Raw genomic sequence first — 16,862 nt, 5'->3', positions numbered from 1 at the left:
TGTTGCAGCTCTGTGCACAATAGCCAAGATTTAGAAGCAACCTAAGTGTCCATCAAGAGATGAATGGATAAAGAAAATGTGACACATATACACGATGAAGTACTATTCAGCCATAAAAAAGAAATGAGATCCTGTCATTTGCAACAACATGGATGGAACTGGAGGTCATTAAGTGAAGTAAGCCAAGCACAGAAAGATAAACATTGCATGTTCTCACTTATTTGTGGGATCTAAAGATTAAAACAATTGAACTCATAGACACAGAGTAGAAGGATGTTTATTAGAGGCTGGGAAGGATAGTGGGGGGTTAGTGGGGAGGTGGGGATAGTTAATGGGTAAAAAAAAAAGTTAGAAAGAATGAATAAGACCTAGTATTTGATAACACAACAGGGTGATGATAGCGAATAATAATTTAATTGTGCACTTTAAAGTAACTAAAAGAGCGTAACTGAACTGTCTGTAACACAAAGGATAATGCTTCAGAGGATGGACACCCATTCTCCATGATGTGATTATTATGCATTGCATGCCTATATCAAAACATCTCATGTACCCTATAAATATATACACCTACTATGTACCCACAAAAAATAAAAATAAAAAATAAAGAAAAGAAAAGAGAACTGTAAAGGTATGCTTCTGCTTGCAGTTCTACTGCAGCACACCAGTTGCATGAAATCCAAGATCTACACATTCAGATATCCTGGTTTTTAAAGAGCATTAAATAAGTAGTAAAGCAAAATTAGCACAGAATACACAATGGGTATTTAACCAACAAGTGGAAACTGATTATGGCAAAGGAAGCTCAAAATAATGATGCCATTCATCAAGTAAGAACAGTATACTTCAAGTAAGAATAGAAAGACTTCGTATACTTTAAAAATTTGTCTTTGTTCTATATTTTGGTACAATTTTATTTATGTACTGAAGTTTCATGAATTGAATTGAATATGTTTATTTTCACAAAATCATTCTGAAAAAGCATAACTTTGGGGTGATGGGTCCCTGAAAGTTCTTAGCTGGCTAAAGCTGAAGACCTTAGGTCTGACCAGATGCCCCAGCTCACTGAGTGACAGTGAACAAATGAGGACCTGGGGCCCTGGGAAAACCCAAAATACTGAGACTTGGCGCTGAACATCAGTGGCTGCTCACAGCACAAAAAAAGTGAAACCCAGACATTACGTCCCTTCTGATGGAAGAAAGCAGTATGAAATAGTCTTGACTAAACAAACAACAAGCTCAAACCTGAATCTAACCAGGCCTTTCTATCTAATTTCCAATTTTTAGGAAATACAGGGGTTAGAGGAATATATTACGTTACGCCAAAAAGATGTAATCAGCCACATCCAGACTGAAGGAAAGAGCGGGAAAGAAAGACGTTTCCTCAATAAATAAGTTTTGAGAGGGTAAAAAAAAGAGAAATGGAGGGGGAGTCTGTTGATTTCTTTAAAAGTCTACTGCAATGTGTGGACCTTATTTGGATCCTGACTCAAATATTTTGTTAAAAGAAAATATGACATTCATGATACAATTGGCAGTTTGAACACATGGGAGATTTGATGATGTTAAGGGATTGTTGTAAGTTTTTTAGATGTAGTAATAGTATTGCAGTTTTGTTTAGAGAAGAATTTTTTTAGAGATACATATGGAAATGCTTAGAGATGAGATGATTTTGTTTCTAGTATTCACTTCAAGTAATATCAGGGGAAGGTTCAGGGAGTGTGTAACGAATTGGCTATGAGTTGATAATTGTTGAAGATGACCATTAGGTTCATTGTGCTATTCTGTTTGCATATGTTTACGTTTTAAATTCTTTAGAAAAAACAAACAAACAAAAACTAAAAACAGGAGGTCGTGATGCATCACTTATCATCACTGTTAAAATCTTACAATGTCTCGTTTTTAAAGATGACATAAGATACTCTCAAAACTTATTCTAATAGCAATTCTCCAATTTTTTTGATCTTTTCCTGGTGGAGCTATAAAACGGACCACTGTTCATTTCTCCCCATTTGCAGACTGGATTTGGGTGGCCAAATCTCAGAGATACCTCACCTGCTGCGTGAGAAGTAAGATGTAGTCCTCAGTTCGCACTCTGGGTTTCTCTTTGAGTTTTCTCCCTCTGAATCAGAGACTACTGCTGTCCCAACCCACGCAAGGGGAATTTTCTCCTGCGCTGAAGAATTCTGCAGGAGTTTCAGTATTTCCATAGGAATACAGCTGTTTGTGCTTCTCACACCCTGAGGAGTTCCAATCTTCCCTACTCTCAGCTTAAAAAAATACAGACTTTAAACACTCCTTGTGTCCACATCTAACTAAGAAGGGCCGAGGAAAGCCATCGCCCTCTACCTTAATTTTCAAACAATTTTGGTGTACACGAATTACATCTTCACTTCACAATCTTTTCATATCATACATCTCTGTAATCTTTAGGAGGAAAGAAAGATGGCCAGACAGACAGGCCACAGTCACTTAGAAGTCTAGAGGGAGTCTGATATATCAAGACGTGTTTTATTTGAGGTATTATACAAGGGGTCATTTAATACAAATAACTTTCTACTTCTAACTTTTTAGTGGCCTTCCAAAATTTCAAGTGTGCTCCACACAGGTAAGATTTCACTAATCTAGAAAGATCCAAAGTATTACTGCCCTCAGAGATATTTCTTTTTTAAAAATGTGTTTACATTTAAGGGGTAGAAGTGCAGTTTTGTTACATGGATATACTGCGTTGTGGTGACATCTGGGCATTTAGAGAGATTTCAATGAATGTGTTTAACCCAGCAATGCTATTGGAGTTAATATGAGATTATTCAATTAGTTAAATATATCACTAACCTTGCTTAAGATGCTATTTTAAAGTCTTTTAATTATTACAACAGTGGATGTAGCAGTTAAGGGTGTGGGCTTTGAAATCTGAGAGACCTGAGTTTGAATCCTAGGTCCTCTCAACTTATGGCCCTTTCTTAACTTCTCTAAGCTTCAGCTATCTTTTAGAAAAAATGAGGATACACATAATCAGTTGAGGGTTTTGATATCAGCAGCAGTGAAATTTTATAATATAAATGTCTGGTCTTAGTGGTTAATAAAGAATTTCAGAATGGAACTACCACCATTAGGATCTCTCTTCTTCACCAGAACACGGGAAGATGCCTAGTGGTGAGCTTCCTCACCCCATGTGGTGGCACCCTTCACAGTAGAGAGCTGTGGACCCAACTGTGAAAATGCACCAAAGCGTTTTGTTCAGAACTATCTACACCCAGCCGCAGGCACTCTACTTCGTATGAACCAAAGAATAACGGGGTCCCAAATGTTTTCATGTCTGACATCTTTTTCTCATCAGATCTCATTTGTGCCAACTTTGACTCAAGTTTGGAAAAACATCTAAAGAGTGAGCCTGAAGACTCACAGTTCTGAATACTGACCATTACTCCCCAAATGACTTCCCCATCATGAGGGGTAATCGGCACCCCACTGGTGTGATTAATCTTGAAGATGTACTCTGGTCATGTCAATTGACTGACTGCATGGATCACTGGACTTCTGGTGGAAGACTTAGCCCCCTTGATAACCTGCCTCAGTTTGTAAAAATGGACATCACCCTATGACATCCTGAGTAGGTTTCTAATAACTAATGAGAAATAGTCAAAACCCTGACAAAACTTCTCCCCTTTTATTCCATTTAGTTATTAAAATGAATTTTCTTAAGCGAAATAATAAATGCTGCCTTTCACCTAAAATACTGGGGAAAAAGAAACAAAAGAGAATGATACAGAAGACACAGCACAAATAAATCCAAGGTACTATCAGGTAAGATGCTGCCCAGTACCCTATGCTATGAAAACTGAAGGCAGATGTAAATCTGGAAGAATATGTTGGCACTTTTTTTTTAAGCAAAATCTCTTGAGATAATCTGTCCTATTTGCAGTGGTTTTGCTCATTTCAGTGGAGCCTATTTCTCTGCCACATTTAACAACCCTAAGTACAAATCCATTATTTGAACAGTGGAAGAGAAACTTCACTTAAATTCAGCTACAAAGTTAATCTTCATTTTAATTGAACAAAAGAGCAGCTCTCATAGGCATTCTTTAAAAAAGAAAAAAAAAAGAACTACAGCAGCTACTAAGAAATGTAAGATACAACCTTCATTTGTTTGTTTCTGGGTAACTTTCTATTTTGTTGGTCTTTTCAATTTTATTTGTCCCAATATACCCCTCTAACTGTGCATGTTATGTTCACTCAGTAGACTTTCAGTGTCTACTACAGTGTGTGTGGATGGATCTTTTCCTATCTCCTTCAGGACATGGCTCCATCAGCCAGCTCCTCAGTGACCCCTGTCTTCCACCCTTCCCTTCTCTTCGGTCTTTCTCTCAGCTATCAACATGCTTAAACCTTTTCATCGTAGTGCCTTCCTTGACCACACATCCACCTCTGGCTGTGGTTTCCTTTTTTTTTTTTTTTTTTTTTTGAGATGGAGTCCAGCTCTGTCGCCCAGGCTGCTAGAGTGCAGTGGTGCCACCTCGGCTCACTGCAACCTCCGACTTCCGGGTTCACGCCATTCTCCCGCCTCAGCCTCCCGAGTAGCTGGGACTACAGGCGCCCACCACCACGCCTGGCTAATTTTTAATATTTTTAGTAGAGACGGGGTTCCACCGTGTTAGCCAGGATGGTCTTGAGCTCCTGACCTCGTGATCCACCCGCCTCGGCCTCCCAAAGTGCTGGGATTACAGGCATGAGCCACAGCGCCCGGCTGTGGTTTCCTTTCTAACCCTCTTCTCATATTCAGTTCTCCAATGGGTGGTCTACACTTCCTGTCTTTCTTTCCTCTCCTATTCAAAATGTCTTCAACTACTTGCAATCTGGCCTTTCTTTCACCACTAAAATTAGTCTCCCTAGGGACCCCAGTAACTTTCCAAATGGCAAATCTGGTGGCCATTTTTCATGCTGGATCTTTTAGCTGCAATGTTCACTCCCTTCTTTCCACTTGAATTGCCCTCCACCTCCCATCTGTTCTCCTCCTACTTCTTAGACATTCCTTCTTCTTTTTTTCTTTTTTTGGAGACAAGGTCTCACTCTGTCACTTAGGCTGGAGTGGAGAGCAGTGGTGTTAACACGGCTTACTGCAGCCTCATTCAAATGGTCCTCCCACCTCAGCCTCTGGAAGCACAGGCATGTGCCACCACGCCTGGCTAATTTTTTTGTTTTTATTTTTTGTAGATAGAGATGGGGGGTCTCACCACGTTGCACAGGCTGGTCTCAAACTCCTGGACTCAAACAATTTTCCCACCTCAGCCTCCCAAGGTGCTGGGATTACAGGTGTGAGCCACTGTGCCCACCAGACATTCCTTCTCTGTGGCCTGCATAGTCTTTTCCTTGAATGTTCACATTCTTCATGGCTGAATCATCTTGGGAAAGCCTACAGGAATATTCCAACCCCCCTGCCTTCAACCTATGTGATTACAACTTAGGAATTGAGTAGAAATTCCCAAAAGCATCAGGAAATATTATCAAATAGAATATTGTGTTTTAAGAAATTTTAAAAGTCAGAATATACTAGATATGTATGTAAGCAACAGTAAAAATACCTAATAAAACAAGTCTTATTGTTAGCATGACCGTAGAAATCAAAATTTGTGCCGGTTAAAATTGCTACAATGCTATAGTAAAACTTGCTATTGCTGAAAACTGTACTGATGATTTTCAGGAATGTCAAAATGCAAAATGTTGTGTGGAAACACAGCAATATTACATCACAGTGACCTTAAGGAATGAGCCATTGTTACTTGGTATTATGCCATTATTATTGAACGTATTTTTATTGGTATTTTCTGTCACTCTAAAACATATACTTCCAGATGATCTTTTGTTTGTATTAAAAAGGATGTCTTTGTAAATAGTACAAAGAACATATCATCAGAAAAACTAGACCGAAATGAGGAATTACCTTTGTCTGGTTTTGTATTCTCAAAAAAAGGAAACTTCGATAATCTCTTCATAAAGTCACCAGAAATAAAAATAAAAATTATGGCCTTATCCATGAATGAATTGAATTGGATACTATTAAATTGAAGTAAAAAGCCCTCTGATATTTTTTATTACCTGGTGATATTTTCACATCATTTATTTGCTATAAGGTTCAATCAAACTATGGTGGTGTATTAAATTTCATTTCACATCTGAAAAAGTTCCATTTAGGAGCCACAGAAGAAATGTGTTTCATCTACATGTCTCCAAGCATACTCATGATAAAGAAAACAAACTTATGAGCTCATCTGAAAGATCACCTCATTCAGCAGTTAAATTGAATCTTTTTAGCTACTAACAATGCTATGTTTCTGGGTTAGGGTGAATTTTCAAGTTTTTGGTGAATGTCTTTATAGATTATTTAAGGGACGTTCCAGGCTAAGCTGTTTTGCTAAGAAACAGCTATTTTAAAAGTTATTTATTTATAATTTGAAAACTAGCCAGTATGTTGTCAAGTGTGATATAAATATTCCCTATCTGACCAGCAATGTTTTAGTCTCTTTTCAGGACAGCATTGCTTTGATTCTATCACTACACTCAACAGGGAGCTACATGAAATTACTTTTACTCTATATTTCCCTTATTTGGTCTGTTGAAGCAACAGCAGCCTCTATTTAAAGAGGAGTTTGACCAACAAGACTAGCTGATTATCCTTCTGGGAAGCTGACTGGAATCCACAGTGCAGAAAGACATTAAGGCTGGCATTTCTGCTATTTACACATCCTTAGTCAACAGACATGTAACCTTTGCTTAGTATAGGAAGATTGGCATGTAGAGCAGTGCAGAAAAACAACCAACTTGCAAATGGGCATGATAAAATATTATGAAATATCATATGGCTGAGGTTAGTAAATGGTGATAAGCCTATGAAGATGATTAGTAAATTACAATCAGTTTTATGAAGATCTGCCATATAAAGATCCAAACTTAATTAGAGGTAGTCATTCTGTCCTTTAGCACAGCAGAATTTCCAATTCACAAATTACTAAAATACTAAAAAGGGTTCCGGATGAAAGGATCTGATATTTTCTGATATCTAGAAGTCTGCACACACATCACTCATGTGAATGAATGAAATACAAGACTATGGATGAATGTTCAATCTCTAGATGGCCCAGAGGTGAAAAAACCTCTTTTACACCTAAAAATAGGGTGTATCCTAAATTCAGTCTCTTACTTCTCATCAGATATGGTCTAAAATCACAAGAGGAAGCTGGGATGAGTATGTATGTCACTTGCCAAAGGACTTGCTTACTTAGACCCACAGTCCCGTTCATCAAAATGACTAGAACCATTCATCATATACCATCTGTTGGTGGTGGGCCACCAGTGTCCTTATTACAGCACAGCGTCCTACTTAACTTTAGGGGTAACAGGAGAGTTGTCCTGATGCCAGCTTTGTAACATCAACACACAGGAGGAGTTGGAAGCCTCAGACTCTGGGCCAAGGAACAAAGGTATGTCAACAACGTTACTGCCTGAACCTGGAACAACACTAGCAAGCAGTAATGCTGTCATTAGCTAATTGCCTGGCCTTTCAGTGTTTGTGCCGGCTGGCCATGACTGATGTTCCTACAGGTTTGTTCTTAAGCATGACATATTTCATTACAGATTCATGATGTGTGATGCAATAGAGTTTGGCATCCTGGATTCTTCAGACTGTGTACCCCAAGAAAATAGTTTGTGTTACTTTGAGTTTACTTCTTTCATGTTAGCAAACCAGCTAGATCATGTTCTATTATTTTTAAGCCTCCATTCCAGCATGACACAGTTAGCACCTTTATGAATTATCACTCTGTCAGCCCACACCTGTGCTCCTAACTCAGCACAGGGGCAATGTCTAAAATATCCTGCCTGCATCTTGTCCGTTAACTATTTTGTGAACAAGGCTACTAAGGCTCAAGCAACCTCAATAATGAAAATCCCCATTTTCACTCATCTTTCGTCATAAAAAGTGTTTTTGAATTCCAGGGTGTTGGATGAAGATAAGCACAGCTCTCATTCTTAGTCTCTGCTGAAGGACAAGATTAAAGTTAGATTTTTTTTTTAAGTCAAGTAGACTTAAAAAAAACTTTTCGTTTTTCCAGGTTTCAAAATCAAAACACAGTAAATTACTTTCTTTCTGAGTAATTCTTTGTCAGGCAAGTTAGAATTTCTTTTTCTTCTTCCCGATGACATTTTATGCTGATAGACTAGATCCAGATGGAATTCCTGGCCCAATCCCCAATTTAGCTTCCACTGCAGCTCCTGGAAGGGACAATGGGAGATTAAACCTGGACAGACTCACTAATAAGTGAGTTTAAACCCAGGGATTTAAACCCAGGGAATTTAAGAGTTTAAACCCAGGGGTTTGAGAGTGAATGCTGCTTTTATTTCATTTGTTTTATACACTAGAGTGAAAATGGCCTGGCTGCTATCCTTTCATAGACGAGAAAACAATGACAGATCACACGTAGGTGACTTTGCCAGAAGCACAGGTTAGTGGCAGGGCTATAATAAAAAACCAATTTTCTTGTGTATTGGTCAAGTTATAGGGAGGGGCGTGGACAAAAGCCTAAGAAGTGTGATTGAAAATTCTTGAAATTTTCTAAACTTGGTTTACTTAGCTGAGTAATCCAGCCTTTCATATTTTGGGCTGCCTGGCCATTATGCGGTTCTTATTTTTTTCTGAGACCCCTACTCTCAAGAACCAATGAAATTTCCTCTTTGAAAGCCTTTGAAAACCCTCAGAGGCGGACTTACCTCAAATCTCTGGTTTTACCGCCTAGGTCTTCACAATTCACACCTGGGTAGGACTCAAGTATTTTGCTGGAAATACAGTGAGATCGTTGGGGGTGTTGTCTTCTCTTAAGTACTTTGTTTGCCTCTGTCATCTCCCAAAGCATGAGCACCTGGAGGGCTAAGACCAGGTCTGCTGAAAGGAGCTGTGGTTGTGTCTCTGTCAATGCCATGGCAGAGCTCAGGACAGGCACCTGACAGTATTGATAAATGGCAACAGGAGACAGTCAAGTCCCCTGCTCAAGCCTCCATTATGTTTGCGTGAACACAAAGAGAGGAAGCACCAGGCTGACTTCTGAGGAAATATACCAGAAATTCATCTCAGCCCTCCAATGAGGATAATGAGGAGGGTGGTGATGAGGACAAATGAGCATCTCCTACATGCTCAGGAGTGTATCAGGGGCTCCACACACTCCCTCTAATCCTCTCAACCACCCTGTGAGCTGGGTACTGTTACTTCCATTTTGCAAATGAGAAAAAAAGGAGGTTGACTGGCTGGTCCAAGGTCACACAACACTAAAGAGGTGGAAGCAGGAGTCAAATCCGGATCAGTCAGAATGAAAAGCTGTTTTGTCTTTAACTTTATCTCTTTTGTCCATTTGATCTACAAAGTCAAAATTGATAGCAGCACTTGAATTCAGAAAAACTGGAGAGTCTTGTTTTTGGAAAGAGCTTACTGAGAAGGTAATTGCCTGTGACTACAGTAATAGATGCTATATAGACAGACTCATAGAGAATGAGAGCATATATTCTGATACTGTGTCTGATCACTAAGAGTCACCCGTTGCTGGAGTCAGTGTGAGGAGAAGGTGACCATATCAATGAATAAAGAGGTATCCTTAGATGCCTGAAAGTAGGAGGCTGAGAATCAATGCCTCTTGTACTCAGCACATTTTAGGGCATTCATCTGTGCAAAGAACAGAACATAATCTATTATTATTAGTTTATTAGTTTAGAGTTGGCAAGATGACCTCTGGAAACACACAGGTTCCAATAAAGACATTCTTTTCAAGCTATTATATTAATGTTTCATTCATTCATTCAAAAAGCATGTACTGTCCATGATACGCAAACACTGTCCTAAACATGGGGACATGGGATATGTGTGTGTGTGTGTGTGTGTGTGTTTGCATGTGTGTATGTGTCAAGATGCATCCCACACAGATATTGCCTCCAAGGAACTTATAGGCTAACACATTGCTTCTTCAACTTAAGAGAAAATCTCTGCCCCTACCCCACCACCATAAAAAATACACTATGGTCTGGTATGCACATGCACAACTGAAAGTATCATAAAATGTTTACCCTTAAAACCTGTAATATATTCTGGTATTTACTAGTTTAGTCTATACTAATTACTGTAATTCAATGAGGACAGAATAGTTTGCAAGACAGAATGATACAGTAGCTTAGATAAAGTAAAGAATTGCAGATACGTATAAGTTGTTTTATCATAAGCATGATTGTGTGGAGATAGCAGGGAAGAAATCAAGCCAAGCTTTTCAGATGATGAGATTTTGGATTGGGCCTTAAAGGGTAGGCAGAATGAGAAGCTGAGTGGCATTCCAGGAAGAGGGGTCAGCATGCATAAACGCATGGTGGCAGACAAGAAACCTGGGTTCATAAAGGTATGTGGTGGGAGTAAGATCAGTTTGGGCCAAATCAAGGAGTGAAAAAGAATGAAATGAAAGTTTTGTGCAAGAAATGTAATGGACAGGGTTGTATTTAGAGAAGATTCACAGATGAGATCAGAGGAGGAAAAATTGGTGACAGGCCCCTTATTCTTCCTTTTATTCACCTTGAGGACACCCCACCTCACCATGAGCTTCAGGGAGCAAAGGCCAACTCTGGCTCTATCTGCATGGAAAGCAAACTGAGAATTCTGCAGAGGACACAGGCAGGACGATGGGCTCAGATAACCCAAAAGCTCACACGGAGTAAGTGCTTGGAAATATTGAATGAAATATAACATTTTTGTTTTTAAAAAAGGTATAGAAATGAGTTCACAAGAAAGGAAAAGGGAAAGGAAAAACAGGAGGGAGTGAGGTAGCATAGTAGCTATCCAGGGAGAGGACTGTTTGTTTCATTATCCTAGAGGCTTTCTTTATTGTCAACTGGGGGATAGGAAACAGTGATGTGGGCCCTGAGAGGTGGGACATAGAAAATAAGATGCCTTACATAAAGTCTGGTCCTAAACAATGGACTAGAGAAAAATCTATGCACCATTAAAAGAAGATGAAACGATGTTCCCAGTGGTCTCTGGTTGAGTTCTATGTAAAATAACAAGAAAAAAAAATTCACATCCAAGAATTTGAAACCACAGGCCAAAGTCTTACAAGTTTGAGATATACAGTTGTGTCACCTTCTAGGTGCAGAAAGTAACCAGATATTTGGCCCCGGACAGCAATAACTCTGGGCAACAGAAGGGGCAAAAGCAAAACCGTGCTGGAGAAACACTCCCACAACCGTGGATGCAAGGAAAACTCACAGAAAAAGAGGCTCAATGAAAGAATTCACAACAAAAAATTTCAAAGTACATAAAAAGAAATCCATCATGGGCAAGAATTAGCAGGCACAACAAACAGAAGAGTTAGCAGACACAAGAAGTAGTGTTATAACAGAACAATAAAGACACATTCAAGGTGATTGAAGACATAAAAGCAAAGTTGTAATCTTAAAAAAGAAACAAAATACAATGAAAATAAGAAGCCTAAGTAGACTTTCAAAGAGAACTAAATAGCACTTCCAGGAATAAAAAATATAGTCATCAAAATTAAAATTCTCAATAGGTAGGTAAAACAGGTTATATAGCCTAAGAGAACATTAATGAATTGGAAGACAGATCTGAAAAAACTACTCAGAATGCAGAAGAGACAAAGAGGTGGAATAATAAAAGATGGGTAAAAAGATATGCAATGTAGCATAAGAAAGTCCAATTTACATCAAATAGAAGTACCAGAAAAAGAGAAGAGGGAAAATGGAAAAATGATGACATTCATATAATTAATAGTTAAGAGTTTTCCAGAATTGATGAAAAGATATAAATCCTCAATTTAAGAAGCACAAGAGTCTCCAACAAGAAAATAAAAATAAATGCACATCCAAACACAGTGTAGTGAAACTTCAGAATACCAAAGACAAAGAAAAAAACTATAAAAGTAAACAGGGAAAAAAGTAAAGAACCCACAAAGAAATAACAAATTCACTACAGACTTTTCAACAGCAATGATAAGGCAACACAGTGAAATAAAGATTCAAATGTCAGAGGGAGAATGAATTTCAACTTAGAATTCTATTCCCAGCTGAACCATCACTGATAAATGAGGGAGAAATAAAGACATTCAGATGAACAAGACTGAGTAATTTACCACCCACTGATTCTTACTTAAAGAACTGAAAAAGATTCACTTTGGGAAGAAGAAAACTGAGTTCAGAGGGAAGGAGGAGGATGCAAGAAGGAATTGTATCCATTATTTATTTTCTGCAGTTTTTATCTTTTGAAATAAAAATATAAAAGAGACACAGATGACCCCATTAGCTTGTTTAGAACACTTTGCTTGGGAAAGGTGAAATAATGATAAGACTGGACAAGAACAAATGCTATTAAATGTCTCCATGAAGCAATAAAAATAGAATAAAATTATTGACTTATCCATAAATATTCATGAATATGACCTGAGCATCTTTTGGGTACAAAGAGCCATTCTGCAGAACAAGAGAAAGATATTTACAAAGAAACAAATCTAAAATTTGTTTTGTGGAACATTTTTATTTCCTGTTTTTTTTTTTTTTTTTAAAGTTGGCTATCTGGATATTGCAAAGTCATAAATAAAACCTTAAGCTTTAATTTAAAGTTGTACATAATCTGCTCCACACAAGCTAATGGGTGTGAAATTCCGAGTTAGTCTTTTAAAAATAAAACTGAAAAATACAGATTCCTGAGTAGTCCCCCAAATAGTAAATCTATACTTCCAAGTTTTTGAAAATTACCTTTGCCATCCCCATACAAGTCGTATTTAGTTAAGAATAATAGAATACAATTTTGTGATTTGATACAAACCCGCATAAATTCAGGGTTTTAAAGCATTCAATGTCTTTGTAAAAGAAGCTAACTCAACAAGAGAAATAGTAGAGGACATTTAATAGAATTCACCTTAAGTGTACTCTACATACATCAAAAATAACACCTCTTGTTGCAGCTACAGGACAAAATGCCAAATGCCCATTCACACTTCTAGAATCAGCTGACAAGCCTCTGAATCCATTCACATTTGCTGGCCTACAAGTAGGCAAAAATAAGGACAGAAAATTACTAAGCATTTTTCAGCAGACAAGAAAAGAATATGACACAGAAGCTTACATTTCTGCCAAAAAATCAAAGGGGAATAAAAAGGCCAGAGGTAGTGGCTCACGCCTGTAATCCCAGCACTTTGGGAGGCCAAGACGGGAGGATCACCTGAGGTCATGAGTTCGAGACCAGGCTGGCCAACATGGTGAAACTCCGTCTCTACTAAAAATATAAAAATTAGCTGGGTGTGGTGGTGCACGCTTATAGTCCTAGCTACTAAGGAAGCTGAGGCACAAGAATTAATTGAACCCGGGAAGCCGAGGTTGTGGTGAGCCAAAATTGCGCCATTGCACTGAGGTCTGGGTGATAGAGCAAAAAAGTCTCTTTTTATAAAAAACAATAATACTAAAAACTGATTAGATTCATCTCTTCAGCTAAAAACATCAAGTGTGTCTTGTTGGCCATCAACACCCAGAAGAATCCCTCACTCTAAGCACATAAGGAAGATTTCCTTATGACAAGAACTTACACTTAAAAATTTTTTTCTTGTTTGGGGACATTTTAGTTGTTTCATAGAGAGGAACAAAAATGTCTACTTCTATTAAAAGAATGCTATGGCACATGTACATTTTTCAGATCTAATCCTTATTCCAAGAAGAAAAAACAAACTCCACGCAAACAAATTCCAACCTGAGTTAAGAGGGAAAATGTTAAATCCAAACTATTTTACTTCACAAATTCTTAAAAAACAGTAAACTATTATTTTGGAAACATGGATGGTTGAAAAGGTGTCAGGACCTAGCTGTGTAAGCATCTCTTTGAACTTTTGTACAACTTCACAGCTCCTCAGGAAAATGCATTAGGATACACAATTTCAAAGAGACTAGACCTGTCATTTTTGCACTTTTCTAGGGCTACAGGGTGAAATGAATCTTTATTGTGCCTCACCACTCTCTCTTTAAACTGACCCACATCCTCTGAAATGGAGGTAGCTTCCCTCCCTCCACCAGGGGAGGAGTCTGGGTTGCCTCAGTGTCTCTCAAGGGGTTGGAGGCTCCAAGGGTCAGCCCTGTTCTGGGCAATGGGACTTTGGATACTTGAGGTGGCTGACTCAAGTTACAGGAGAGTCCTGTGTTGGTTTAAGAAGTTAGCAACAGTATCTGCAACAGTGCCTCTACATGAAGAGGACCGTGCAAAGACTGACAATAAAGTATAGAGGGGTTCAGATGTGGGTTCTGAAGCCACCTAGTTTGAGTTTAAATCAACACTGTGTGACCTTGAGTATTTACTTAACTTTCTCTGTGCCAACTTTCCCCATCTGTAAGCAGGAAATAAATGCTATCTACCTAAGGTCATTGTGAAGATTAAAGGAGGTAATAAGTTGTGCACAATGCCTAGTACATAGTAAGTACACCACAGATATCAGCTATTATTAGTAGTAAGAGGAGCAGAAACATAAAAACATGAGTGAATGGAAATAAAGGTCCTGTAGTAAGGATGAGTTTAGATGATTTAAACTGTAAAAGCAAGAAACATTTCCCATAATTATGGAAATTCAATAAATGAAGAGAACTTTATGAACAGAATGGATAAATATAACATCCACTGATACAATAAAAATTTTAATGTGCAAAGTTTGTAACTTTCAGGTAAACACACTTAACAAACATTCTTGAATTCTGATTCCCAAACCTTATGTTGTAATTCTTGTAAGGGTCATTTTTAACTGATGATGTGCATCATCTATTACATATTTTCAGAGATGTGTATTACAGGCTTAAGAATATTGTATTTAATTATTTTAAGTTATTATTCTGCAAAGCAAACCTCTGATTATCTTCTTATTGCCCCAGTAACCTCACAGGAGGTACAAAGTCGCCCTTCACAGAAACAGCTGCGTCACTCTGAATTCCTTTCCTTTTCTTTTATGGTGTGTGGCCCTGCCAAGGTTAGAAAACAAGTAATCTGAATCTACCAATTGCGCTTCCTTCCTTCCTGACTGTCCTTTGGAGAGATTCAGTGCTCTTTAGAGTCCTATTAGAGCAATCAATGTAAGGCAGACTCATGCCTGCCTTATTTTCTAGCAGAAGCATCTGCAACTGAAGACACTCACATCCAAGGGCATCATGTGTCTAATGAGGGAACTAAAGGTAAGTCAGTCAAGAATTTATAGCCTTCCAAGTTTTAGAAATGGAAGTGGTATTTCTGAACGACTCATCAAAACACTTTCTCTGACAATATGGTACCAAGGCCTTAACTTCTCAAACTCGAAGTCCACACAGCCACCTGAACAAAATGATTTTTCTTGTCATCTACTTTAAAAACTGGACAAAAGATTTTGCCATATATATATATGAGATATATATATATCACAGAGACTCTGAACACAATTTTTCTGTGATTGACACTTCTTTGATACTTCTTCTTGTTAAATTAAGCTTATTAGTCCAAAATGCAGCAGTGAAGCATGCTACTGAATAGTATTTGCTGAAGATCGTTTTAAAATCCTCAACACTCAAATTGTTTCTCTTAGATCAGGGAACCTAACTATTATCTTTAAAACATTACCTATGATATTAAAGAACCTTTACAAACCAGAGGAAAAGCAATCCATCTTTTGTTATAGTGTTTAAATCTAGTATATTCAGCATACAGATGAATTTTCAAAGAGGCAGTTTCCACGGCATGTACTCACCAGGGGCTCTGCCATAATGATACGAATCTTGCGTTCAGCCTGAGTGGTGAAGTTGACAAATAAACTTTTGAGGACATATTCTCCTGGTTTACTGTCTGGGTCCACATTGATGGGTAGCATGGTTGGCGGCCCTTTCTCCCTGTGCGTGCCAGAAGCAGGTGGAACCGGAGGCTTGATGTAACCGTTGCCAACGGGAGAAGCTGAAAAACAGAATGGGCATTCTTACTGGCTGATAATAATGTCATAAATATTCAGATGGACTGTGTTAAACCATAAATATCAGGATATGAATCATATCAAGAAAGTCACACTTAATATTATAACCTGGCCTTATTCTTTGGAAATGGTGTCAGAATTTTATTATTTTCATTATACTATGTTTGTGTTATACCACATTTGATCATCTCAAGATTCTAGTCACTACATTGCTTTAGGTAAATTATATTGGAAGCTCATAATATAGCTGATCAATCTTACAATACTTAAGATGTTTTTGGCTTATTTTTTTGGTTCTACGGAAACAGCAGTCCCATTTAGAAAATGGGTAGAAAACATATATGGGAAAAAAAGTGATTTCTTGTCCAGGTTTTCCTCATGGTCAAGAGCTCTCTGTGTTCTGTGCTTCATTCTAATAATGGAAAGGACTCTGGGGTCATTCCTTCCAGAAGTCTCCAAGAATCAATTTTTAGAAGCCAAGCTGGCTCTTGCTCCAGAAAGGGACACACCTCTTGAAAGATACGAGGCTCAGGCAGTGCTCTGTTTGCCGTCCAAGGTTTGGGTTTAACTTTTCACTTTCACCACCCTTTGGCTCAAGTTGAGACACCTCTGTGCTTCCTTTATAAAATATGTTGATTCCCCACTAGTACTATATCTTCAACAGAGTCAGCTATTAAAGCTCCTGATGAGTGGCCTCTGTTCAGAATGCAACAGAGTCAGACACTGTTTTAATTAGATAGTTGCTAAACTTTTTTTGAATTCATAAATGCAGTTTCAAGTCTCTACTTTTTACAGTACTTTGATATGTTAAATTCTACCACCCCTCCCACACAAGCCCTTGTAAGATGGTCAGTTATTAATATC

General features: G+C 38.1%; 1 protein-coding gene across 5 annotated transcripts in view; it reads right to left on the bottom strand.

The window, feature by feature from the left end:
* Positions 1-16,862, bottom strand: part of FRY (FRY microtubule binding protein) — a 267,352-nt gene that overhangs the window by 204,310 nt on the left and 46,180 nt on the right. For all 5 annotated transcript variants that reach the window (XM_047429999.1, NM_001411012.1, XM_047430000.1 and 2 more), the window contains exon 2: positions 15,783-15,982. In XM_047429999.1, coding sequence (XP_047285955.1) covers positions 15,783-15,982 — 200 coding nt within the window. The remainder of the gene's footprint in view (positions 1-15,782; positions 15,983-16,862) is intronic.

The sequence above is a fragment of the Homo sapiens genome, chromosome 13 (assembly GCF_000001405.40).
Source record: "Homo sapiens chromosome 13, GRCh38.p14 Primary Assembly".
NCBI classification, from domain to species: Eukaryota; Metazoa; Chordata; class Mammalia; order Primates; family Hominidae; genus Homo; species Homo sapiens.
The sequence above is the reverse complement of the archived record's forward strand: the minus strand, read 5'-3'. Positions and strand labels throughout refer to the sequence as shown.